The sequence below is a fragment of the Homo sapiens genome, chromosome 2 (genome assembly GCF_000001405.40).
Source record: "Homo sapiens chromosome 2, GRCh38.p14 Primary Assembly".
NCBI lineage: Eukaryota > Metazoa > Chordata > Mammalia > Primates > Hominidae > Homo > Homo sapiens.
This window is the reverse complement of record NC_000002.12, coordinates 211,752,500-211,778,099: the sequence shown is the minus strand read 5'-3', so window position 1 is coordinate 211,778,099 and position 25,600 is coordinate 211,752,500. Positions and strand designations below refer to the sequence as shown.

General features: G+C 38.1%; 1 protein-coding gene and 1 pseudogene across 10 annotated transcripts in view, besides 1 other annotated feature; one reads left to right on the top strand and one right to left on the bottom strand.

Moving 5' to 3' along the window:
• The window catches only part of ERBB4 (erb-b2 receptor tyrosine kinase 4), a 1,163,086-nt gene that overhangs the window by 760,703 nt on the left and 376,783 nt on the right, over positions 1 to 25,600 (top strand). The window lies entirely within an intron of this gene.
• MTND2P23 (MT-ND2 pseudogene 23) lies at positions 244 to 894 on the bottom strand (annotated as a pseudogene).
• Positions 11,031 to 11,567: an enhancer, noted in NCBI's record as "OCT4-NANOG hESC enhancer chr2:212631258-212631794 (GRCh37/hg19 assembly coordinates)". NCBI's record gives its function as "activates a minimal SCP1, AML or CMV promoter by ChIP-STARR-seq in primed H9 embryonic stem cells {active_cell/tissue: H9 hESC(primed)}" and the evidence as "EXISTENCE:reporter gene assay evidence [ECO:0000049][PMID:30033119]".

Genomic DNA, 25,600 nt, shown 5'->3' with positions numbered 1-25,600 from the left:
CCCCCAATGGTGGGAGAAGTAGATTGAAGCCAGTTGATTAGGGGGTTTAACTGTTAACTAAATTTTCGTGGTTTTGAATTCCACCAGTCTAGTAAGGGCTTAGCTTAATTAAAGTGGTTTATTTGCGTTCAACTGATGCAGAATAGAGTCTTGCAGCCCTTAGGTCTGTTACAGAAATTAAGTGTCATTTACTTACTAAGGGCTTTGAAGGCCCTTGGTCTTATTTAAACTAAATTTCTAAGTTATAGTTAGTATTAATGGAGAGGTGGGTAAGAGGACGGTAGAAGAGATGACAAGTGAGGAGGGAGTAGTGTGGGTTTTGCGATTTCGAATTGTCATTTTAGTTTCATATTATTAGATGTGGGGAATAGTGTTACCAAGATGGAATAAATGAGGTGTATGTAAGAGTACAGGTTGAGTAGGGTTATGATAGCTATAATGGTTGGGGTGACAAGGCTATAATTTTTTGTAAATCCTTGGATGATGATTCATTTAGGCAGGAACCCTGTAATGGGGGTAAACCTCGTAGGGATAGTAGAATTAGTGGAATTATAGGTGTCAACCATGCTAATTTCTTTCAGGCATGAGATAGTGACAGGGTTGTGATGCTTATACTCAGGTTGAGTGATAGAAATGCAGTTGTTGTTAAGATAAGGTAAATAATCAGATTTAGAGTGGTAATGTTTGGGTCATAAATTAGTACTGCTATTATTCAACCTATGTGAGTGATTGAGGAGTAGGCTAGGATTTTACGCAGTTGTGTTTGGTTAAGTCCCCCTCAACCACCCACTATAATGGATAGAATTGTGATAGGAGGATGTTCAGGTTTGTTGATGGGAAGATTTGAAACATAATTGAGATAGGGGCTAGTTTTTGTCATGTGAGGAGAAGTATATCATGCTTGAAGGACATAACAATTAATCAGTAGATGCTCACGCACATATGCTCACGCATATACGCTCATGCATGTACCCCCACGCACCTATGCTCAATTTGAAGAACTATTTCCGATTACATCTGCAAACTCCCCTCCCTCCATCTCTGCCTTTACCATCAACCTAGGTAAATGTACCCTTGCCAAACCCCAAAAACAAGATACTAAAATGCAACCCAGTCAGAGCCCAGAAATCATATTTTAACCACGAACGCTCCAACAGCTACACCTCAATTGATGTAATTTTCTAAAAAATCTTAAGGCCCTCCTACCAAATAAACCCTCCATTCTGTATAATAAATAGAGTAACTAAACCTCTGCCCTAATACTAATATAATACCTTGAGCATATCCCTCTGAAAGCACTGCCCCAATATAACATACCCCTAAATCAACCATATTCAAATTATGAGTCATCCTCTCAGCCAAACCTCTGCCAATTCAACTTTAAAGAACCTGAATTTCCAGAACTGTAAACAACCATTTGTATTTACTTCTTTCTTTCTCATATTTTAATTTTCACTTACGTATTCCATGCAGTTAGTATAGCTTAAGTATTCAAAGCAAGACAGTGAAAATGTCTAGATGGGTTCACACAACCTCATAAACAGATAGGTTTTGTCCTGGTCTTTTTTATTAGCTCTTAGTAAGATTACACATGCAAGTATCCCCACCCCAGTGAAAATGCCCTCTAGATCACCCAGATTAAAAGGAGCAAGTATCAAGCACACACGAATGCAGCTCAAAAGAGTTTGCTCAACCACACCCCTATGGGAAACAGCAGTGATAAATCTTTAGTAATAAACAAAAGCTTGACTGAGCTTTACTAATATTTAGGGTTGGTTAACTTCATGCCAGCCACCACAGCCATATGATTAACACAAGCTAATAGAACTCGGCATAAAGAATGTTTAAGGTCTATCCTCAATAAAGCTAAGTTGTAAAAAACTCCATCTAAGTTGTAAAAAACTCCAGCTGAAATCAAATGTACTACAAAGTGGCTTTAATACCCTGAAGACACAATAGCTAAGACCCAAACTGGGATTAGATACCCCACTACACTTAGCCCTAAAGTCGAATAGTTACATTAACAAAACCATTCGCCAGACTACTACAAGCAACAGCTTAAAACTCAAAGGACTTGGCGGTGCTTTACATCCCTCTAGAGGAGCCTGTTCTATAATAGACAAACCCCGATACAACTCACCATCTCTTGCCCCCGGTCTGTATATCACCATCTTCAGCAAACCCTAAAAAAGTTATAGATTAAGCATAAGTATACACATAAAAAACGTTAGGTCAAGGTGTAACCCGTGAGGTGGCAAGAAATGGGCTACATTTTCTATGTCCAGGAAATCTCATGAAAACCTTTGTGAAATCTGAGGGCTCAAGGAGGATTTAGCAGTAAACCAAGAGCAGAGTGCTTGGTTGAATAAGGCCATGAAGCACGTACACACAGCCTATCACCCTCCTCAAGTATTACTCTAGATATCACTATTACTAATAATTGTCTACACATCTATAGAGGAGATAAGTTATAACATGGTAAGCATATTGGAAAGTGTGCTTGGACAAACCAAAGTGTAGCTTAACCCAAAGCATCTGGCTTATGGCCAGAAGATTTCATCATGGCCTGATCACTTTTAGCTAACTCTAGCCCCAAACCTTGCTAAAAATGTTATCAAACTATCTTAATCAAACCATTTACTTAGACAAAAGTGTAGGCAATAGAAATTTTTACCTTGGTGCAATAGACATAGTACAGTAAGGGAAAGATGGAAGAGCTATATCAAGCACTAAAAAAGCAAAGACAAGCCCTTATACCTTCTGCATAATCTATTAACTAGAAATAACTTTACACAGAGAACTATAGCCAAGTCCCCCAAAACCAGACGAGCTACTCAAGAACAGCTGAAAGACCACACTCACCTATCTGGCAAAATAGTGGGAAGATTCATGACTAGCAGTGACAACCCTACTGAGCCTGGTGATAGCTCATTGTCCAAGATAGAACCTTAGTTCAATTTTAAACTTACCCAAAGAATTACTTAATTCCCCTGTAAGTTTAATTGTTAGTCTAGAGAGGGACAACTCTTTTGACCTTAGGAAACAACCTTCCTACAGAGAGTAAAAATTATTAGCACCACAGTTGGCCCAAAAGCAGCCACCAATTAAGAAAGCATTTAAGTTCAACATCGAACTATCTTAAATTCTAGTCACTCTACTGAACTCCTAACATTACATTGGACTAATCTATTACTTAACAGAAGCAATCATGTTAATATAAGTAACATGAAGACATTCTCCATTGCATAAGCTTACATCAGACCGGAATAACCCACTAACAGTTAACAGCCCAATATTAATAAACGATATAATAAGCACCCTGTTATTTTCACTGTTAACCCAACACAGTCATACTCTAAGGAAAGATTACAAAAAGTAAAAGGAAATTGGCAAATCTTACCTTGCCTGTTTACCAAAAACACCACCTCTAGCATTATCAGTATTAGAGGCACTGCCTGCCCAGTGACATATGTTCAACAGCCGCGATATCCTAACCGTTCAAAAGTAGCATAATCACTTGTTCCCTAAATAGGGACTTGTATGACTGGCCAGACGAGGGTTCAGCTGTGCTTTACTTTTAACCAGTGAAATTGACCTATCCGTGAAGAGGCGGATATAAACAAATAAGGTGAGAAGACCCTATGCAGCTTTAATTCATTAATGCAAATAAAAACTCAAGCCTACAGGCCCTAGCTTACTATCCCCATATTAAAAATTTTAAACTGCTTGGCCTGGCGCAGTGGCTCACACCTGTAATCCCAGCACTTTGGGAGGCCGAGGCAGGGGCATCACCTGAGGTTAGGAGTTCAAAACCAGCCTGGCCAACATGGTGAAACCCCGTCTCTACAAAAATACGAAAATTAGTCGGGCATGATGGCAGGTGCTAGTAATCCCAGCTACTCGGGAGGCTGGGGTGGAAGAATCGTTTGAACCCAGGAGGCAGAGGTTCCAGTGAGCCAAGATCACACCATTGCACTCCAGCCTGGGCGACAGAGGGAGACTCCATCTCAAGAAAAAAAAAAAAAATTGGTTGGGGTGACCACAGAGCATCTGAACAATCTAAGACCGTACTAGTCCAAGTGAGATTTTACACACTGACCCAGTAATTTGATCAACGGAATAAGTTACCCTAGGGATAACAGCACAATCCTGTTCTAGAGTCCATATCGACAATAGGGTTTACAACCTCAATGTTGGATCAGGACATCCTATTGTGTTGCCACTATTGAAGATTCGTTTGTTCAATGATTAATGTCCTACGTGATCTGAATTCAGACCGGAGTAATCCAGGTTGTTTTCTATCTAGTTAACATTTCTCCTTTATATATATACTTCACATAAATATGATATATGTATATATATGAAGTGTGTGTGTGTATATATATATTCTTCACTATAAAGTATATATACTTCATAGTATGTATATGAAGTGTGTGTGTGTGTATATATATTATATATATATATATATATATATATATATATATATATATATATATATATAAAGTTACAGAAGTATAATCCTTACTTTCTTGAAAGTGACAGAGTATTTATTCCTTGGAAGTACTTAACCTGACCTCCAGGTGGTAGAACAGAAGATTATCTCATACCCTCTCTTCCTTAGCTCATCTTAGTCCTCGTATTCATCATGCATTGCAAGTATTATTACTTTTTCCTGAAAATCATAACATATATGAGTATATAAAAAATTCATTTGTATGTAATAAGTACATAAAAAGTAAACATTTATGTAAATTTATACATACACACATACATACAATATTAGTCTCAACAGTTTATAATTATTAATTAGTTTCTACTTATCTTTTACATATAACTTAACCAAAAACTTGGAGTAAATTCCATAGCTTCACCTCTCTGGTCTTATTCTCTTACTGCCAACCTCCCAGCCTCTGCTACCAAGGACTCCCGTCATGTCACAGCTGGGCTAGGCACTCCCTCAACTGCTTTTAAGACCCAGGTGCCTGATCCCTTCAAAGCACAAATAAAACCAGTTATTGACAAGGCGTGGTGGCTCATGCTGTAATCCCAGAAATTTGGGAGGCTGAAGTGGGAGGATTCCCTTAAGCCTGGAATTTGAGAGCAACCTGGGCAACAGAGTAGGACCCCATCTTTAAAAAAAAAAATATATATATATATATATATATATATATATATGTGTGTGTGTGTGTGTATATATATATGTGTGTGTGTGTGTATATATATATATGTGTATATATATATATATATATATATATATATATGTGTATATATATATATATATATATATATATCCCAGTATGGTGAAGTATACCTGTAGTCTCAGTTACTCAAGAGTCAGAGGTAGGAGGATCACTTAAGTCCAGGAGGTCAAGACTGAAGTGAGCCATGATTGTACCAGTGTGCTCCAGCCTGGGTGACAGAGTGAGACCTCATCTCAAAAAAAGAAGAAAAAACATTAGTTATCAACATAATTTTGTTATTAATAAGAATGGTTATTTGGAGAGAGAGAGGCCCAAAATTAACTTCCATGTCCCTGTCCATGTGTTGTCATTGAAGATATCCCCCACTACTGAGACCCTCTGACCACGTTCAGACCTTAGGGATTAGTCTCTTTATCTTCCCCTAGGTCTTTTTGCCTCTCATTCAGTTCAAAGCTAATTTCATTTTCTGTTTCTGATTTAGTGGAAATGTCAATTGTCATATTAGGAAACACTCCACACAGAATATGGTGTGGATCCCTTAGACAAGTTTTAATAGTGCATTTTCCAAAAGCATGATTTCTTCAGTCTTAAATTATACCATATGTCAGTGCCGTGCTGATAAATATTTAATAACTACTCTCCAAAAATAGGGGAAAAAAGCCCCAATTTGTTGAGCTTACTGATTTTCATGGTATAAATATTTCTAACGTCTTCCCATTTGAGCAATCAGTGTGGATTTTGGAAGAGATGTCCAGGTATCACACCATTATGTAGTATTTCCACCATACAGGTTCAGTAGATGTAAGTAAACTCAATTACACAGAAGATAGTAAAACATTGTAAACTATTCAGGAAATAATGAATTTCTAGTATATATTACCTTTGTTTTAATAACATTTAATTGTGGGTTTATATAGTTTAATATTTAGTAATGGTTATTTAATGAAAAGCTCTCAAAATTCTAGAAATTTTTAGTAGTTGGCCTTGTACACCAGGTACTACCACCTGTGAATATGAACAGCCCTGTAAAGGTAATGGTAGGCTGAGGCCAGTTCCGTTGCTTATCATTTTTCTCTATAAGAGCACCAAGAGATTCGGCCAGCACCTCATGCATGGTATGAACTGATCGTAGCCCCTAGTCTCTTGTGAGCAAATGCTGAATAAAACACACACACACATACACACACACTTCGCAAGAAAGAACAATCACTTTAGCCTCTTTAGGGGTAGGGCAGCTTAGCTCAAAATTTGTAAAGAAAAAGCATTTGACTCTTCAGCATCATTTTCTGCTAACATTTTTCATTTAAATTATTAAACTGTATACTTACCTGCACTCATGCTAACTTTTGCATTCAAGTTTTCCACAAGACTAATGAGTAGATTTTATTTATGTTTGACTAAAAGGTTTAGAAAAGTGGTCCCTGTCAGATTAAACAAGAGTTTCTGTCTCAAAGATTAACTCCTCTGTACCCCACAAGCTTACTGCTCTAGCTCTTAAAATGGCAATTTTCCACCTTCAACTATGTTTAGATTCAGTTTCCACTGATGAACCTTAAATCTTCTTTATGACCATAGCTTGTTGGAAGAAAAAATATTACATGAAGGTGACCAGCAGAGATGTTGTGTAGCATGGTCTAGCACTAGCACGAAAGGCCAAGGTTCGTCATGTCCACAGGTAACTAGATTAAGGTTTCCAATCGTGGGTATGTATCTGAATTCACTCAGAGATTCTGCCTGAGTACCTTTTGTTTAAAGAAGAGAATCTGACTATCTTCAGAATTCTCCTATTGATTCTAGGAAGAGGTGTAAGTAGCACTGGCCTAGCATAAGATTTCTATGATGGTAAAATGATTAGCAAAGCCTAATATGATGCAGACATTTCAGGCCATGTGTTAGTTTGAAATTGGCATAGAACATATGGGCATGCTACAAATGAGCCAACTACCAAATACACGAGTCCCCTCTTAGAGAATATTTAGTTCTCTGTTGTTTTGCGAAACTTCTATGTCATTAATTTCAATAATAAAAATCACAGTGCTTTAAATGCCTGTGACCTCCTGGGCCTGGTATATCACAGGCACTTAAAGAACCCTATTTCTAATTTGCATGTTATGTGAGGTAGGTATTAAGAGCCTGATTTGGGGGCCTCTGAGAGCCTCAAGCAGCTTGCAATTTCTAGTATGGAGCAGACTTGTTGGCTTCCAATGAAGAGCTGAAGTGATCAAAATATCTTGAAATAGTAGGTCTCTGGAATTCAAATTGTCTATCTGAGGGCAGCCTTCAGGTTTCATTGTTTCTCTGAAACTTATTTTTAAGTACATTTTAACAAGCATTTTCACTAAAATATGTGAATTTTATTGAAAAAATATATCATGCTATAACTGAATGTCACTGATATGAGAAAGGTTTTCACACCGTTCAAACATAATAGATGGAGAAAGACAAAGCAATTTGAATAATTAACTTTTCTTCGAAGTAGTAACTCCTAACATTTTTTAAAATGGTGAGTTTTTAAAAAAGAATTAGAGATTTTTGGAATTTAAGAATGCTTTTTTTGTTACCTTTTTCTAAACAAATTCTGTATTGCATATTTCCTTTAATAAGGAAAATAAGGTGGAATTAACTTTGCTTTGAATACTTTTGAATTTTAAAATGTTTTAGAACCACAAAATACAAAGCAAGGAACATTAATGTGAAGTGATTCACAGTAAGAGACATCTGGTGATCTTCCACATTTTAAAAAATGTACTTCACGTAAAGTTTAAGTCATCCTGCTATATGAGAATTTGCAAAAATTTCTAAGCCTGGAAGAATTAGGCGTAGAGGTTAAAATGCTAGGTTGGTAAAACTGAGTTAAATTTTCTCCAAGTAAAACACTCATCTGTGATGGTTAATATTGAGTGTCAACTTGATTGGATTGAAGGATACGAAGTATTTTTCCTGGTTGTGTCTATGAGGGTGTTGCTAAAAGAAATTAACATTTGAGTAAGTGGACTGGGAGAGGCAGACTCACCCTCAATATGGGTGGGCACCATCTAATCAGCTGCTGGTGCTGCTAGAATAAAACAGACAGGAGCAGATGGAAGAGCAGACTTGCTGAGTCTTCCGGCCTTCATCTTTCACCCACACTGAATGCTTCCTGCCCTCAGACATCAGACTCCAAGTTCTTCAGCTTTTGGACTCTTGGACTTAACACCAGTGGTTTGCCAGAGGCTCTTGGGCCTTTGGCCACTTTGGCCACAGACTGAAGGCTGGACAGTTGGCTTCCCTACTTTTGAGGTTTTGGGACTCAGGCTGATTTACACTGGGATCCTTGATTCTCAATTTGCAGATGTCCTATCCTGAGACCTTACCTTGTGATCCTGTGAGTCAATTTTCCTTCATAAACTCTCTTTCCTATATATCCTTTTAGTTCTGTTCCTCTAGAGAACGCTGACTAATAACAGATTTTGATAGCAGGAGTGAGGTGTTGCTAAAAAATACCTGGAAATGTGGAAGCAACTTTGGAAATGGACAACAGGCAGAGATTGTTTCCCTGTTTGAATATGGAGAGCTCAGAAGAAGATAGGAAGATGTGGGAAAGTTTGCAACTTCCCAGAGACTTGTTGAGTGGTTTTGACCAAAATGCTGATAGTGATATGGAGAATGAAGTGCAGGCTGAGGTGGTCTCAAATGGATATGAGGAATTTATTTGGAACTGAAATAAAGGTGATTCTTGCTATGCTTTAGCAAAGAGACTGGCAGCATTTTGCCCCTGCCCTAGAGACCTGGGGAACTTTGAACTTGAGACATATGATTTAGGGTATCTGGCAGAAGAAATTTCTAAACAGCAAAGCATTCAAGATATGACTAGGGTGCTGCTAAAGGCATTCAGTTTTATGCATTCACAAAGATATTGTTTGGAATTTGAACTTATGTTTAAAAAGGAAGCAGAGAATTAAAGTTCAGCAAATTTGCAGGCTGATAATGCAATAGAAAAGAAAAACTTATTTTCTGATGAGAAATTCAAGCTGGCTGCAAAAATTGGCATAAGTAAGGAGCCAAATGTTAATCACCAAGACAATGGGGAAAATGTCTCCAGGGCATGTCAGAGGTCTTCATGGCAACCCTCGCATCACAAGCCAAAAGGCCTAGGAGGAAAAAATGGTTTCATGGGCTGGTCCCAGGGCCTTGCTGCTTTGTGCAATCTCAGGACTTGCTGCCCTGCATTCCGGCCATTGCTAAAAGGAGCCAACATACAGTTCAGGACATGGCTTCAGAGGGTGCAATCCCCAAGCCTTGGCAGCTTCCACGTGGTGTTGAGCCTGCAGGTGCACAGAAGTCAAGAATTGAGGTTTGAGAACCTCTGCCTAGATTTCTAAGGATGTATGGAAATGTCTGCATGTCCAGGAAGAAGTTTGTTGCAGTGGAAGAGCTCTCATGGAGAACCTCTGCTAGGGCAGTACGGAAGGGCAAAGTGGGGTTGTAGCCCCCACACAGAGTCCCTACTGAGGCACTGCCTAGAGGAGCTGTGAGAAGAGGGCCACCATCCTTTGGACCCCAGAATGGTAGATCCATCGACAGCTTCACTGTGTGCCTGGAAAAGCTGCAGATACTCAGTGCCAGGCCTTGAAAGCAGCCAGGAGGAAGGCTGTACCCTGCAGAGCCACAGGGGCAGAGCTGCCCAAGGCCTTCAGAGCCCACCTCTTGCATCAACGTGACCTGGATGTGAGACATGGAGCCAAAGGAGATCATTACAGAGTTTTAATGGTTGACTGCCCCGCTGGATTTTGGACTTGAATGGCACCTGGAGCCCCTTCATTTTGGCCAATTTCTCCCATTTGGAATGAGTGTATTTACCCAATGTCTGAACCCCACTGTATCTAGGAAGTAACTAACTTGCTTTCAATTTTACAGACTCATAGGTGGAAGGTACTTGTCTCAGATGAGACTTTGGACATGGACTTTTAGGTTAATGCTGTAATGAGCTAAGACTTTTGGGGGTCTGTTGGGAGGGCATGATTACATTTTGAAATGTGAGGTCATGAGACTTAAGAGAGGCCAGGGGCAGAATGATATGGTTTGGCTGTGTCCTCACCCAAATCTCGTCTTGAATTGTAGTTCCCATAATCCCCGTGTGTTATAGGAGGGACCCAGTGGGAGGTAATTTAGTAATTTAGGGCTGTTACCCTCATGCTGCTGTGGTGATAGTGAGTGAGTTCTTACAAGATCTGATGGTTTTATAAGGGGCTTTTCTCCTTCTGCTCATTCTTATCCTTCCTACCACCATGTGAAGATGGATGTGTTTGCTTCCCCTTCCGCCATGACTGTAAGTTTCCTGAGGCTTCCCCGGCCACATGGAACTGTCAGTCAATTAAATCTCTTTTCTTTATAAATTACCCAGTTTGGGGTAGGTCTTTATTAGCAGCATGAGAACGGACTAATACATCATTTTTACTAAATAAAATTATATATTGAGTCAAATAATAAGCACCTAATTAATGTAAAAGAGAGATTTACGAAGCATTCCATAATTGATTTTTTAACATAAAACCCTGATTGTATATTTGGTGTTTAAAGTAACTGTGTAAAATTGAATGACAATTACACTGACTCTATTCAGTATTACTCTCTTCTATTTTTGTTTACTCTGTAATGGGTGAGAGTAATTATGTAAGTGTTCTGTTACCAGTGGAGGGTGACCAGGTTCTTGGTGTTTTGAACAAAGAATTGGGAAAAATGCACGAACAAAGCAATAAAATAAAAGCACAGATTTATTAAAACAAAAGTACTCTACACAGAGTGGGAGTAGCCTTGAGCAAGCGACTCCAGAGTGCTGGTTACAGAATTTTCTGATGTTTAAATACCCTGGAGAGGTTTCCCATTGGTTACTTGCTTTACACCCTATTAATGAAGTGGTGGCCCCCAACCAGTCAGACTGGTGTTGGAAGGTGACCAAACAGACTGAAGTGAAGTTACCAAGTCACACCCCTATGCAAATGAAGACAAGGCCGACATGACCAGTCTGACCGGTTTCAGGAGCAGACCAATCAGAAGTACTTTACTTTCTCCTCCACAATGCAGAAATGGGGGAGTGGGGTGTTGCAAAAGGAGTAGCCTTTGATCCTTTTGTTACTCGAGAGTGGAGAGGTGGGGTTTTCCTTTTGATTCCATTCTAGGAAATCAGCACAGATCGGCGTTAGGTTCCCTGCCTTCAGACCCTGTTCTCCTGCCTCACAACCATCATTCACAGATTTCATCACAACTCACAAGTTCATCCTTGTTTACTAATGAAAGTGTTTCATAGAATTCAGTTTCACAATTAAATAGAACTTAAGGAACTATTTTCCCTTTTTTTCTCTAATTTCTCATCACTTGAAAACTAGAAAGCAAAAGGAAGATGTTTATGAATAACTGAAAACATGTGCAGACATTCAGCTTTCCCTTTTCATAACATTTACCAAGATGTTTCACATGTGTCTTTCCTCTCCTATTGGTGTTCCCTCATTCAGGACTTTTATTTCAAAGTTTAGAGAGGAGGAAGGGGAGAGACCACTGGTTACACTAGAGGATTGGGGCAAGGGATGTGGTATCTACAGGGAGCTGAGAAAGATGAACAAGCAGATCAAACTGCTAACCCATTTGGCAATCTTTCAAGCCTAGATTGTTGCAAGCAGCTGTATGCAACTTTTATTTAATTCTTTCCTGCTCAGCAAGAACACATTATGTTCAATTTAGAGGTGATTCTTTTGCCAATTGTAGGTGCTCTTTCTACACAGGAGAAAAATGGAGAGAAAATTATGCAGTGACATTTCTCTTAAAGTTCTTGGCAAAATATAAGTAAGAGAAATACATAAAAGAAAGAAAAAAGCTTGAATAAAAATGCACAAAGGAAAAGTCATCAAACAGGTAGTTATCTTGATCAGCCACTTTTATTCTCCTACCTTTCTGTGCTTCATTAAACAAAAATGTTGATCTAGATAATTTTTTCAAAAATATTTTCTGTGGCATCAATTCAAACTCTGTACTCAAGAATTAGAATACAGCATTAAACTAGTCGTTTAAAACATATGCCAGTGAAGGTTTCCCAGAATAAAGAAATTGGCTTTACTACAAAAAATACAATGATAAATTTAAAAGTTTTTTAAAGCAATACAATGATGGACAACCATCACTTCTACATTTCTAAATTTCATTGAAATGCATAATTTTAAATACCAACTATTTTTATTGAAAAGACTTGCTATACATTCTTAGTGGAATAAACAAATGTCTAAGGGTCCTTATAGTTGTATACTGGACAGGAATCTGCCTGCTTTGGTTCAGAAGAGAAAGATTGATTACCATCATGCAGTTTTGCAACATTCTCATGAAATAGTAAGTCATTTCTGTTAGTATATACAATGGGCTCAGAGATTTTTTTTTCCTGAGGGATAAGAAACAAAACATGGTCTTATCAATAGTAAATTACATTAAGAGTAAGAGTATAATATACGTTGAATACTTTTTAAAATATGTAAGGAGGTAGAGAAAAATTAGACATCACTTTTCTTTTTCTCCTCTCTTCCTATCCCTCCTACCAAAGTCTTTTATCTGACCATATTTCAGGACAAAGCCCCCTGAATCTTCCTTCCAAAAAGCATGATGATGCCTCTGGTTCTTTGCTTTGAAAGGTAGCCTAGTGTCTGAGCTCAAGGTGGGTGTTTCTACATGAGTTTGAATCTTGTCTCCAAGAGTTTCTAACTACACTTGCTTAGCCCCTCTATCCCTCATTTTTCTCATATAAAACTGAATTGGAATAATAGATTAAAATATTGTGAGGCGAGGGAGTGAGATGGGGAGGGGCACCTTTTTCCATGCTCTTGACGTCCACCTACACCACCCTCCACCCTGACTGTTATTGACTAAACCGCTCATTTATCACACACATCAAAGATTTTGGTAAATGACCCAAATCATCTTTTTAACTCCATGCAAGTCATTCCCTAAGTGATTTTGAATGAGTGTCTTTATAATGATCTCATTCAACATCTTTGCCTAATGGATTCCTGTCCTCCTAAAATCCGTTGAACTTTCTGAGCATTTGTATTAATCCCATTAGAAATCAGACCTTGTTGTGACACAAAATTTGTCTTCCTATGTGTGTTCTAATATATTTTGGGTGCTCTTCCCTCCTTTGTCCCAAATGGCTATTCTATTTTTGTATCTGTTAACATAAATTAGATACTTGGTTGTATTGGTTAAGAGTATGGGCTCCGGAGATAGTATTTTTAGGCTCCAGACCCAGGCTTATTGCAAACTGTGTGATCTTGGGCAAGTTATTAAATTTCTCTGGCCTCAGCTTCCTAATCTGTAGTAGTACTTTCCTCCTAAGTTTATCATAGAAATAAATTGCCTAGAACCATGCCTTGTACATAATAAAATTGTAATATATTTAAGCTATAACTACCTCTTTAGCATGCTAGCTAACGAGGGCTTTCATTGTGATTAAAGGATTTGTATTTCAGAAGTTACAAGACCAAAAACATTTTTTAGAAAACAGAAAACTGGAGCTGAAAGATAGGTAATAGAACTGATATTTATTTAGACTTAAAAATAATTTGCAATGGAATGCAAGAGATGTCTATGCAGTGGTTTGCAAATCATTTATCTTTTTTCTATAAATAATAACTCAATTTCCAGATCTGTCTAGTAGTATATTAAGAAGGAACTCCACTGAAATAGCTTTTTGATGGAATCAGATTTTTAAAATATATTATATGTCCATTATCCTTGAATTTATTTTTTGTGTATGAACTTCGAAGGTGAATTACTGAAAACATTCTACAGCAAGACATTTTAGGCTTATTACTTACTATAATGCCTTTTGGGTCATTTTCTTATAACCTCCATCAACTTTAAAATCACATTTTTATTCCTTTGGCTTACAGTGGCATTTTAGAAATGTGCCTATTTGTTAATTTGAGTTCTTTTTAAGTGAAAGGACTTGGACATATACATATATTTGTGTGTGTGTGTGTGTATACACACGCACAGCTAAGGCCTTGTTTTAACAGCAAGTCCCTTTGACAGATGAAAAAGTGGTAGTAACATACGATGAGTCTTGGGCTGTTAGACCTCAGAAGACTTTGTTTAATATTGTGGTGTGGAGCTACCTAATCTTTTCCAATTTGTTATCCATTTTTCTTTGTTATCTGTCTCGGTGATGTCTAATCTCCACAACTGACTGCTACAGGCTAGCAATCTGTAACAAAAACTCAGTCTCAATCTTATATATAATAAAAAAGGAAGGCTGTAAGATTAATGGCCCCAGCCATAATTATAAAGTCCCAAACCACAGATATTATAAGACCTTTCAAAATGTACTCAGGGTTGAAGAAGCTGTGTTAGCACTATGATGTGAAGATACTGGCCTCTTAGTAAAGGAAATGTTGGTTTATTGAATCTGAGAAGCCCATTGTGTTTTGAACACTGTTAGGAACTATGGAAAAGAAATGGTTCCTTCCCTTAAGGAACTCATAATAATTTTATCCATCTCAGTTTTCCCATGACAACACTCATTTCTTATGAATTTATATAGGAGATATTTCTATTCTTGGAACTATCAAGTGGAAGCCAGATGAAAACACAGGCTATCCATGGAGACCATACTACACACAGATTATCAGAATTTCTTTATGTTCATGTTGAAATAGAACCCAAACATTTCTCCTTAAACACTGACTATTCTGACAGGATAAAATGTACAAATATGGGAATATTCATAGTCTATCTTTTGTACCTTCTCAGATATTTTGTGTCTGCTTAATACTTTCAGTGCACCAGACCAAACCGTTCTCATGTCTCCAGACACACACACACACACCACACACACACACAATCCCTAGATGTTGTAATGCACACTTAAGATACATAACAAAAAACAGGCAAATAATTATTTGATAAGAGAGCTAAATGGAATGAAAAATACTTGAGGAGAATGGTTTAGTCCATCAATCACATAATAGTGATACAATGATGGTGGGAGTAGAAGGACAAAAGGTTTGTGATGACGGACAGCAGGAAGAGAGAGAAAACTAGGATTGGGGTTTTGCTGAATGAGAGTGAGAGTCATGTGAGAAAACAGTTTAGAACTGTTGCCATGGGCAATGCTTTGGATCCCATTTCATGTCCTTTGAGAGCAGTAAATTTCTTTTGCTTGAATTTTAGCTGTTGAACCACGTTTCTCAAATGTGACACCACTCACAAAGTGAACACGTGGGTGGTTACAGTTCCTCAGGGACCCATTAGCATGTCTCACTAGCAATCTGACAGATGAAGGTCATGGAGTGGGCTGAGACCCCCACATCAGTGACATCTAATCTTCTTCACTAATCCACCATTGCTCCATCCATGGGTTTCTGTTTCCCTTTCTGAAACATACCTGGAAATATTTCCTGCCTTCTTTTTCTCTCTCCACGTGCACCAGCCTGAACTCTACAAGAGCCCGAAGTTCCAGTGGCAGAGTGAGTTTCACTGGAGTTGGGTTATTCGTAACATTCTTGCTGAAACTGTGGCTTTTCACGCCTTTGTCAAAGGATGCAGAAATCTTTGAAACCCGCTTGTCTTTGTCTGCTATGCCTGCGAAAGCCTCTAAGGGGTCACACCCTCCCCGCTTCCAATTGCTTGACCTGTGGTACCTTACTGATCATTTCAACCCTGTTTGCATAAACATTTCTGTCTCCATTTATGTATCTGCCATATCACCTCTACTGACCCTCTCCCTCTTTGTCTGTCTTTGCTGTTCAGTAAAATTGTTATGTAATGTGTTGCGATGGAAGAAAAAGGGAACTAACATTGATTACTGCTTATTACAAGCCAGGTACTTTGCATGTGATATTCAACTTAGTCATTCCTTCATCAAATATGTGAAGTAGGTATCATTACCTGTATTTTCTTAATGAAGAAAGTCAACTCTTAGGTAAAGTTCTTTACCCACAGTTCCACCAATTGTAAATAATGGAGCCTGAAAGGAGACAAAAATGATTTAATAGCTGGGGTTTTCCACACTTTACCAGCACTTAGTAAAAGCTTGTATTTTTTGCATTTTGTGAGCATATAAATGAACACTTAGAGAAGTAAGTGACAATACTGTAAATTGGTTACATACTCAGTTGTATTTTGAATATTTTAGCTTTCCTAAACTGTGAGCTCTAATTTCCTATCACATTCTCCTTTAGAAATAAATGCCAATTACTAAAATGTGTTTGTATTTAATTGACATTTATTTTAGACCCATTTACTGCTGAACTTTAATAAACAAATAATAGAATCAAAGTAATTGCCAATTAGAAATGAAATAATGGGCAAGAACAAAAATGTTTGACTAGAAACATGCTACGTATAAAAAGGGCTGATGTGCCACAGAGGGACAATTCTCTGGCTCTACTTAAAGGACGCTTTTTCCAAAAAAAAAGAAAAAATAATTTCTGATTAAGATGGATGTCGCTGATTAAACAACCAAATATGAAACTAGAAGGACAGATAACAGCATATATTACGTATCCTTCTTTGCTGTGGATGTTATATAATGTACTTTAGCTCTAAAACATCACCATCAAAAACACTTCTAGAGTTCTCAGTCATAGTATGTTAGGAAGTGTGAAGATTAATTAAAATTTCTACCTTTAAAAAATAAAAATAAGGATGCTTTTTATTTTCTTTTTTCCTTTTTTTTTTTTTTTTTTTTTGAGGAATCTCACCCTGTCGCCAGGCTGGAGTACAGTGGCGCAATCTCAGCTCACTGCAACCTCTGATTCCCTGGTTCAAGTGATTCTCCTGCCTCAGCCTCCTGAGTAGCTAGGATTACAGGCACGCGCCACCACGCCCAGTTAATTTTTGTATTTTTAGTAGAGACGGGGTTTCACTATGTTGACCAGGATCTCCTGACCTCGTGATCCGCCTTCCTCGGCCTCCCAAAGTGCTGGGCTTATAGGCGTGAGACACCACGCCCGACCCATTTTCTCACCTATAAAATAAAACAAATGGTAGTACTTATGCTATCATGTTGTTGTGAAAATTAAATAAGATAATGTATATAAAATACCTACTGCGCTGTGCAGAGAGTAAAGAGTGCTCAGTAAGCATTAGATGATGTGGTGAGGTTGATGATGTTGATCATGCTGTATAGATTGGAGTATGCAGTATAGTGTACACCTCCATTTTTAGGATAAACATTTAAGTCCAAAGTATAAAAACAAAGTGAAATAAGTTAACTAACCTGCCTGAGGAATGACACAACCAGTAACAGGTGAGATTTGAAATTCTAATGTGTCTCATGCCAGAGAGCCTTTATGTAAGAGTACATATCTGTTGATACTTACATGAAATGTTGATTCAGAACCACAAATGCAAGAATTTACATTGATCCTATTAAATATCATAGCTTTAATTTCAGCTTATTGTTCCTTCCACCAAGTTCTTCCTAAATCTGAATGATTATTCTCCATAAGAGTATTCACTACCCCTTCCAGATTTGTGTCATTTGCAAGTATGATAAGTGTATTTCAAACATTTTATGCAACTCAGTGACTAAAAGGTCAAATATGATAGATGTGTACAGAAGCTTTTGGCACACTCCTGGAGCTAGGACGTCAATCCAGGCCAATTAGCACATCATACTTTTATCAAATGTTCTGATACATGTGCCAGTCATCTACAAATCCCCTCATCTATTTCAGATCCCATCAGTGTTTTACACAAGGACACAATGAAACACATGGTCACATTCTTTCTATTGTTTAAGTAATCTTTTAATGAGCTACAAATCTGCTGAAAAATATGATGTGAAATTAGTGGTATTTTCTTAATGTGTATTTTCATTAAAAAATATGTATTTATCTCCTACATGTACCAGTGAAAATATCTCATAAGGCAAAATAGTTAATTGAATTTTGGCATGTCTATATGACGGAAGGTAAATCTACCAAAGAAATAAAATTATATTTATTTAATATCATCCAAAATGTTTAGGATAAAAATGTAAACTGAAAATAGCAGATGACAAAACTGTATAAAGTATTACATCGTGTTAAAATGCAACACACACACACACACACACACACACACACACACTCTAGAAAATGAAAAACACCAAAATTCAAGGTTATGAATTTTTTTCTTCTTTCATGTTTTTATGCATTATACAGCATTTCCAATTTGAACATCTATTAGAAATAAAATCTAGTAAATCTATCTGGAATGTTTGCTATTTAAATGTAGTGGGTCAGGGGAGTCATGGAGAGGTGACATCTAACAAGAGCAAGTTAGTGGGTAAACCTGCTTTATAGGCTCTTAGAGGAGGAGAGGAAGAGGAAACAGAAGAACCCTAAGTGGGAGTGAACCTTGTATGTCCTAGGAACAGCAGGAGATGACAGTGAGAGGAGTAAGCCCGGAGGAAAATACTGAGGCAGGGAGGAGAGGGCTACGTGTTGTAGGTCCTTGAAGACTGTGGTAAGGACTTTGGCATGTACTATGAGGCACATGGCAACTTAGGAGATTTGACATGGTCTGACTAAAAAGATCGCTCTGGCTAATATATTGAGAAGAGATTGTAAAGGGGCCAGGGTGGAAGCTAGGACACCGGATAAGAGGTTATTGCATTAATCCAAGCAATAGATGATAGTGGTTTGTATTACAATGATAATGGTGCAGGTGGTGAGAAATGATTGGATACTAGACAGATTTTGAAGTTAGAGACAACGAGATATGTTCATGAATTTGGATCTGGGCTGTAAGACGAAAGAAAACAGAGCTGAGGATGACTCCAAAGTTTTTGGCAGAAGCTTCTGAAAGAATTGAGCTGCTATTGACTGAGATGGGGAAGACTGTACAGGAATAATTTGTATGATTGGAGTGGGAAGAGTATGGATTTAGTTTTGAACATGTGTATTTTCAAGTGCCTGCTAATTGCACAAGTGGAGATGGTTCGTAAGCAGTTGGAAGTATAAGTTTGCATATCACAGAGTCTAGACTGGACATACAAATTTTGGAGAGTGCCAGACTATTCAGGTTATATGAGGATTAAATGAGTTAATATATCCAAAATGCTTAGAACATCCTTGGAAGGCCCACCACTACATATAGCTGAACAGGTTGTGCACTGCACACCTCCAAGGGTTATCATGTAGATTGAGTACATCTGAAAGATGCTTCTGGACACCCTTGGTGGCTCTGGCAAGCTCATAGTAAGTGCTCATTATTATTGTTGTTATTGGTTTCAAAAAGCTGACACATCTCAGTATATTCTTTATGTTTTCAGGTAAGGTTTTTCAGTTAGTTCAGACCCCTTATTTATATGCTCAGAAATACATTTGACATTGATTGGAACTAATTCTGTTCCACAGTAGGTGGAATTTCTGTATTCTACTTTGTGCTAGCAGCTATAAACAGTGATAATTAATGCTTTAAAAGTGCCTGGTTTGGAACAAATATATGACAGTATCATATATAAAAGCTTTTAGTCTTTTAGGAAAAATTTCATGTTTTATTATTTTGAGACATTTTGTTATTAACATATGACTTTTCCAAAAAGCATTAAGACCTTTTAATGTGATTTTCTTTGAAGTTCATTTCCATTGGTTTCAGTAGCCTAAAGCATTCTGAAGGCATGTTGGAAGGAGCATAGAATATACAGAACAGTAATATCATAGACAGCATTGAGCAGATCTTTCCATTCGGTGGGAAATAGATTGCATTTAGTATGTTCATGTTTATTTCATTTTTGGCATAATATGTATTAGGTTATTTCTAACTGTTAGTCCTTCTTACAATCACATGAGCTTGTACGTGTAAGTGATAATCGACAATCTTAGATCTAAATGGATTATCATCAATTTTTCTTTTAACTGTAAAATGGTGTTGCTCTATCTGTTCTCCTTAAATCTATATGTAGAAACAGTTCTATATTCAGCCTGCAAATGGAGTAGCTGGTTGCTTCCATTTATGAGTTAAGAGATTTTGAAAAATGGCACTCTCATAGGTCTACCCACCCCAGCCTGCCCAGCCTTTTATTTGTAGCTGTGGTTTCTACCACTGTCATGTCCCCTCATAATTGATCTATGTTTCCAGAAGGCCTCAGGAAAAATACAAATTTGCAAAGTAACTTTAGAATCTTCAAGCCTTTGCACAACTTTTGTGCCAGATTAACTGGCCTGTCCATTAGCTATCTGTCTGATATCCTGTCTAAGGTGATGCTGGAGAAGATACTTTGTGCACTGGCAGTCACAAATTAGCAGGAGGGAGTTGAGCCCCTGAGGGAGGGGTAGATGGAAGCGCTGCAGACACTTCTGTGCATTTTACACTTCTGTTTGAAATTAATCTTGATCACATGAGTATATATGCTGTTCTAAAATTTTGACTATAAATTGCTTGAATGAATATCATGATGATGCTTACAAAAACATCAAGTTTAGCAAGGTTAACCGTACTTATTTGTTTTTCCTGTACAGTAATTGCCTAATATATTTTGACCTCATAACTCCTGATGTAATATACTGTAAGATGAAAAATCCCAACGATAAATGTTTTTAGTTTCATTTTTAACTTCATATTTTTTAGCAAGGAAGAATACCTGCCCATCTTTTTGTATCAAGATGTATGAAAGTTAAAGTTTCCATTTTATACTTAGTTTTCAAATTAAGAGGCAGGATAGGAAAATTGAATTGAGACTGGAATAAAAAGTAAAGTCAACTCACATAACAGAAGAGTGAATACAAATAAACAGATGACAATGAGAATTGTCAGATAAGAACAAGTGGAAGTATTAACATCTCATAAAGAAGAGCAATTCCACATCATGGTAATGCCATTAATTCCTACTGATGTAGCATTTGCTCAAATCATATTGAGACTTTACTATTATATGAGTGGTTTACAGTAAGTTAAATGTGAAAAACAAAGCTATATGTATATTTTAGTACTGCTGGAGAAAGATGCAATTTGATGGGAATGTGTCCACAAATCAAAGAATAAACTCTAAGACATGAGAGACTGCTAGATTTTTACACTGCTTGTCTGAAAGTTTGGTTACCAAGCATCTGATCAGCTCTAATACTAAAGCATTGTCTCAAAATATGTCTATGATACTAACAGTTTGGAATTATATGCCAAGCCATTATCTTATATATACTTTTGTCATTTTGGAACCGTCAACCTCAGAATCTCTGGAAGTGCTTTTTAAAACTAGGGATTCCTGTACCTCACCAGACTATAAAATCAGCATCTTGCACAAGCTACTAAAGTGTCAAAACTAACTTTTGGGAAACATGACTCAAAACCATTTTCTACCCTACAGGTCAAACTATATCATTTTAATGTTCAAGGACCTTGGCCAACTCCATAATACCCATTAAACTCCATAATACACACACAGAGTAAACTCCAAACTGTTTAGAAGGCTTTCGTGATACTTTGTAAGCTCACGCTCCAGCTGCTATTACTCATGCAAACTATGCTCAAAAAACCCTAAACTACTCATTATGGCCCCAAACAGTTGTGCTCATCCATGCCTCTGTGTTATTGCTTAGGCTAGCTATTCAGCCTGAAATTCTCCTTCCCTTCCCTTTACTGCTGGACAAACTAGATTGTTCAAGCAAAACTAAACTGCAGAGCCTTCTGCAATCCTTTCTCTCCACTTTATACATACCTATATTTTCGCAAATATTATGGTCATAATAGTTACTTGCCTATTCCTCTGCCTATTTCCTGGACCCTAAAACCTCCTTGAGGACAGGGTAGTGACATTCGTCTTTTTATCCCCCCTCCCTGAACCCACACACACACCAAGAATAGGGACTGGTTTAGCATAGACTTTCAATCAATGTTCTACTTTCCTATTTTGAATTATATGGTCATAAAAAAGGTATTATTCTCTCACTTCTTTCTCTAGTAAAAGTAGTTTTAAGAGGTCAAACCTGCCAGTTTTTAAAAGGAGTAAAAGAAAAATCCAGGGATGTAACTGCGTTGCCTTTAGCTAGAGGCAGTTTGAGGATATGATCTTTTATAGTTGCCAATGACTTCATATTTTGTAACTCTTCAACTGTCCTGGCATATTACTTGCAGAAAGCATTACAGAGGTAGACAGTGAATCCCACATGCAGGTGGTCACACAAATAAGCACAACTTCTAGATGAATTTGTGACTCTTAAAAACATAAATGCAGTTCATGGACTCTAGTTCCTACAAAGGAATGCAAAGGCTACATTTTTAGTAACATCCGCTGGACAAGCATAAAAGATGAACTTAGTCACGTTTGCCAGCTTCCATGATGAATAATGCATTGTGAAAGCAGAGGGATTGCTTGTGAATTAAAATAGTGGTGATGGGGAGTAACCAGAACTTATTTTTATTTTATTTATTCATTTATTTTATTTTATTTTTTGAGACAGGGTCTGATCCGTCGCCCAGGCTGGAGTGCAGTGGAGCAATCATGGCTCACTGCAACCTTCGCCTCCCAGGTTCCAGTGATCCTCCCACCTCAACCTCCAGAGTAGCTGGGACAGCAGGCGTGCGCCAACAAGCCCGACCGATTTTTGCATTTTTTGTAGAGGCCGGGTTTTGCCATGTTGCCCAAGCTGGTTTGGAACTCTTGGGCTCAAGCAGTCAGCCCACCTTGGCCTCCCAAAGTGCTGGGATTACAGACATGTGCTGCTGCACTAGGCTTAGCACTTACTCTAAGACATTTAAAAATAGTTAATAAAGTAACTGAAATGGTTGTTTAAAATGTTGGTTTGTTTCTTATTTCATCTCTTTGAGCCAAAATAACAAGACGTACTAATTTGACTAATTCTCCTATCACCGAGCTACATGGAAATGTCAGATTCTTCGTTTTTAGTAAAGAAGTGGACTATTTTCTCACATAGCTTCAAAAGAATTATAGCAGGCCGGGCGCAGTGGCTCACACCTGTAATCCCAGCACTTTGGGAGGCCAAGACAGGCAGATCACCTGAGGTCAGGAGTTCAAGACCAGCCTGGCCAACAGGGTGAAACCCCGTCTCTACTAAAAAACACAAAAATTAGCCAGTGTGGTGGTGCATTTCTATAATCCCAGCTAGCTGGGAGGCTAAGGCAGGAGAATCGCTTGAACCTGGGAGGTGGAGGTTGCAGTGAGCCGAAATTGTGCCATTGCACTCCAGCCTGGGGAACAAGAGCAAAACTCTGTCTCAAAAAAAAAAAGCTCGGGCACAGTGGCTCATGCCTGTAATCCCAACACTTTGGTAGGCCTAGATGGGTGGATCATGAGGTCGGGAGTTCAAGACCAGCCTGGCCAAGATGGTGAAACCCCGTCCCTACTAAAAATACAAAAAATACAAAAACTAGCTGGGCGTATGGCAGGCACCTGTAATCCCAGCTACTCGGGAGGCTGAGGCAGAGAATTGCTTGAACCTGGGAGGCAGAGGTTGCAGTGAGCCAAGATTGCGCCACTGCACTCCAGCCTGTGCAACAGAGCGAGACTCTGTCTCAAAAAAAAAAAAGGGATTATTGCAATAATCAATGGGAAGAATCACGTACCAGGTTGAGACATGGAAGTGGGAAGATTTGGACAGCATTGGCAAAACCCCTAAACACTGCTCTCATTTACGTATTCTAGAATCTGACTAATTCCTCTCTTCGTGGCCCTCATTTACAAAACACACTCTGGGGAGAAGTAGTTTATAAAACTAATTCACACTGAATATGACAGACACATAAGATCTCTTTTTCAGATGAAATCAGGACTTTTGGCCAGGCGCGGTGGCTTACGCCTGTAATCCCAGCACTTTGGGAGGCCGAGGCAGGCAGATCACGAGGTCAGGAGATCGAGACCATCCTGGCTAACACAGTGAAACCCCGTCTCTACTAAAAATACGAAAAAAAATTAGCCGGGCGTGGTGGCAGGCGCCTGTAGTCCCAGCTACTCGGGAGGCTGAGGCAGGAGAATGGCGTGAACCCAGGAGGCGGAGCTTGCAGTGAGCTGAGGTTGCGCCACTGCACTCCAGCCTGGGCGACAGAGCGAGACTCCGTCTCAAAAAAAAAAAAAAAAAAAAATCAGGACTTTTGAGGTTAGTGCATGCCTGAGAAGAGAGGGCAGGAAGAAAGTCCCAGTAAGACAGTAGGTTATCATTAAAATATATGTATAATATATATATATTAAATATATATATATAAACAAGGGACATATCGAAGCCTGTGCTTAACATTCTTCACTGAAATGGTCTAGGGTGATCTCCTTTTAGATGTCACATGGACGTGTCATCGTTTAAGGAATGTAGCTGACTTCCAAGCCCCTGGGAATTAGATTGGGAATTATCTAGCTCCACCTGCTTTCATCCAACTCTTCTTTCCTGGGCTAGGAGGCTGTTAAAAATTTAGATTTACTGACTTTTTCCCTTAAACTCATAGAGGGTGAACATTAGCTACAGAGTAGTCAAAACTCTTTTCCTGAATTAATTCTAAACTCTAAGAAGGTGATAAACTTCTCTGTTTCAGTTTAATATTTTATGTCCATTGCTTAACATCATGCTTAATACACAAAATGAAGAAGGTACTTATGAAATAATCAGGGATACGTGGTTGGAAGGATGTAGGAGGGAATGCTTATAGGAAATTTTGTTTTTTTTTTTCTATGCTAGGCAGATAATTACTATGGGAACTCTCTCTGTACTTCCCAATTATCTACAAGAATCAAACTAAGGTTACAGGCATAAAAATGTAGTAAGTGCATTGATTCATAAATATCTCTAATCAGATATTTTGGTCAGATATTGTAGCATTTACTTAATTGCTAATTGGCAACATCCAGTGATAACACAAGTGCCATGTCTTGCACCATTTTGAAGAGTAAAACTAAAGCTGAACTGAGTACTAGGACAGATTCCAAAAGTGTCAAGGCTCCAGAGAGAAAGTTAAATAAGGGTAGTCTTGGCTGAACAGCGATTTATGGGAGTACAGTCAATTCTAGATCCTCTAGTGCATTTGTCATAATAGAATTTTGAAATGTGTAGGTCAAGTGGAAATGGAAACTACCAACAAAATCTCATAATATCGAGTAGACAGTCAAGGTTAAATTATTTAAACTTGTTTTTTGTGTGTGTGGGTACTATATCACATTTTCAAATAGGTGGGCCTTGCCCTGATACCTTGTCAAGAACCGTCAACAGTATTTCTAGCAACATGCCTTTTTATATTGAATCTGGGAGCAGATGTCTGGGTGGCAAATTGGAATTTCAAGAATAAGAAGTTAAAAAATTAATCGAGTAAGAGAAAAACATTGAGAATATAAAAATGTCTAATATGAATTTTGTTACTTAGCTCCTTCCTTTCCTTGTTCCTTCCTTCCTTCCTCTTTCTTTACTTTTTCTTTTCTTCTCTTCTATTTGCTTTTATCTTTTCTTTTCTTTTTT